Below are 2,261 nucleotides of genomic sequence, written 5' to 3' on the forward strand. Positions count from 1 at the left end.
ACATACACACATGGACACACGCACGCACATACATGCACACACACGCAGACACATACGCATGCACATGCGCGCATATACACGCATGCACACACACATGCACACACACACACACGCGTGTGCACACACACGAGGAAAGCTGACTCCAGTGACCCACACCTCCTTCTCAGAAGTACCACAGCGCTGAGCTCTGATCTCACTTGCGAATTCTGATAAGAAGCGACATATCCTAGATGGGAAGGGGGCGTGTGACCATGAGGCGACGTAGCGTCTGCGCTGCATGGGAGAGGCGAAGGGAACGCAAGAGGCAGACGGTTTCTTCACCCTTCAGCAATCGGCAAAGGACAGCTCGGGTGTCAACAGACAACTGGTGCTGAGGGTCACATAGCACGAGGACGTCACATGTTCCCTGATGGATCGTGCTGGGCAACTTTTGACCAAAATACCCAGGCCAGCTCCGCTGACTCTCAAGCCTCAGACAGGGGGGCTCCTGGCTACAGCTGCAGCTGACAGTGCAGGACAACCCCAGCCAATAGGGCAGCCTGCCCCCACGCTCACCCGCCCAGCCCCATTGCAGGAGGACAAAGCCAACAGGAAGAGCCTCAGCGCTACCCCAGAGGGAACCCTGTTCCAGGAGCTGACCCGGCACCCAATACTTTAATAATGCACCAGTGTTACCGGCTGGACTTCTGGGGGCCCTAACCAGGCTCCCTCAGTCTGGCTTGGGGACTTTTCAAAGAGGCAGTCACTTTGGACGACAGGCAGAACAAGGTGCCTTTCAACATTGTGCTTGCGAGTTCCGTTTTAACCCTGGGCTTCTCGTCAGGAGGCTCACAGCTTAACTCAAAATTAACGCATGGTCTTCTTCCAGCCCATGGAGGGTCTCTGTTCTTTTCACGCCCTCTCTGGGTTAAAGATTCTCTGGCTTGTCTGACAGCCCCTTCCAGTGTCTTTATATGTTTTCTCACAGCCTTTGCTGGCTTGTGGAGCTGGGCACACTCCTCGCCTCCCACACGTGAAAACATCCTTCCTATCATCTGAGCCTCGAAGCAGACCCGCGGCGTGCAGCCTGGGCTGAGAGGAGGAAATGAGCAGCTCTCCGGGCCCCTTATGGAACATTCTGCAGAGGAGTGGCTCAATTGTCCATGAATTTCATGGCTGAAGTTTAGCTCCTCAAACACTGCTGGGGCTCAGCCTCCTGGTCGGGGAGGAGGGACTGTTCTGCAGCCACGGCCTTGGAGCCGGGAACAGGGTCCCACCCGGACTCCCTAAATGGAAGCAGTCACATCCGATGTGCCCCTCCCCCACCCTCCCTCGCCGCCACATTCAGGTGGCTAGGTCCTGTGCGCCCATCCCCCGGCTGGCTGGCTCTCCAAACTTCCATGCACATGAACGTTGGAACCACACAATTCAGCACCGCATGGCAGGTGGCTTGGTCAGCTTCTTCACTGCTGGGGGGGAGGTAACACATGAGCAAGAGGAGGCTGGGGTGGTCCATGTGGCAATGGATTAGAATTGAAGGGACCAATAGGAGCTCACATCTGACTTAATATACACACAGAGGCTGGGCACAGCGGCTCACACCTGTAATCTCAGCACTTTGGGAGGCTGAGGTGGGCGGATCATGAGGTCAGGAGTTCGAGACCAGCCTGACCAACATGGTGAAACCCCCGTCTCTTCTAAAAATACAAAAATTAGCCTGGCGTGGTGGCATGCGCCTGTAATCCCAGCTACTCAGGAGGCTGAGGCAGGAGAATTTCTTGAGTCGGGGACGCAGAGGTGGCAGTGAGCCGAGATTGTGCCACTGCAGTCTAGCCTGGGCGACAGAGCGAGACTCCGTCTCAAAAAATAATATATACATACACACACAGAGTGTGTATATATATATATACATACATACACACACACACACACGGAGGCCATATGTGGAATTGGTTATGGATATGTGTACATACCCATGTCAGTGTACACGCAATGCTTTCTTGCTCTGTCAGCCGAGAGGGCCTAGAAGCAGGGACACCCAGTAGCAACAAGCACACCTAGCACCCAGGCCTTGGTTTCTAATACCCTCTCCAGGAATAGGAACCTGGGCTCCTTGGAGAAATGGCTGATTCTACAATTGGGGCAGGAAATATACAAGATGAGCCTGGAATGCCCTGTAAGTGCCAGAATAAAAAGAAGTGCTCAAAAACACAGGAAGGAAAACAGGCTCACTTATGGGGTGTGTCACAGGGCCACAGGATCCAACCGAAGGAGCTCCCAAT

The 2,261-nt window shown here is 54.3% G+C and overlaps 1 annotated feature.

Annotated features, from left to right (window-relative positions):
- Positions 1–897: an enhancer, noted in NCBI's record as "H3K4me1 hESC enhancer chr21:44057507-44058403 (GRCh37/hg19 assembly coordinates)". NCBI's record gives its function as "activates a minimal SCP1, AML or CMV promoter by ChIP-STARR-seq in primed H9 embryonic stem cells {active_cell/tissue: H9 hESC(primed)}" and the evidence as "EXISTENCE:reporter gene assay evidence [ECO:0000049][PMID:30033119]".

The sequence above is a fragment of the Homo sapiens genome, chromosome 21 (assembly GCF_000001405.40).
Source record: "Homo sapiens chromosome 21, GRCh38.p14 Primary Assembly".
NCBI classification, from domain to species: domain Eukaryota; kingdom Metazoa; phylum Chordata; class Mammalia; order Primates; family Hominidae; genus Homo; species Homo sapiens.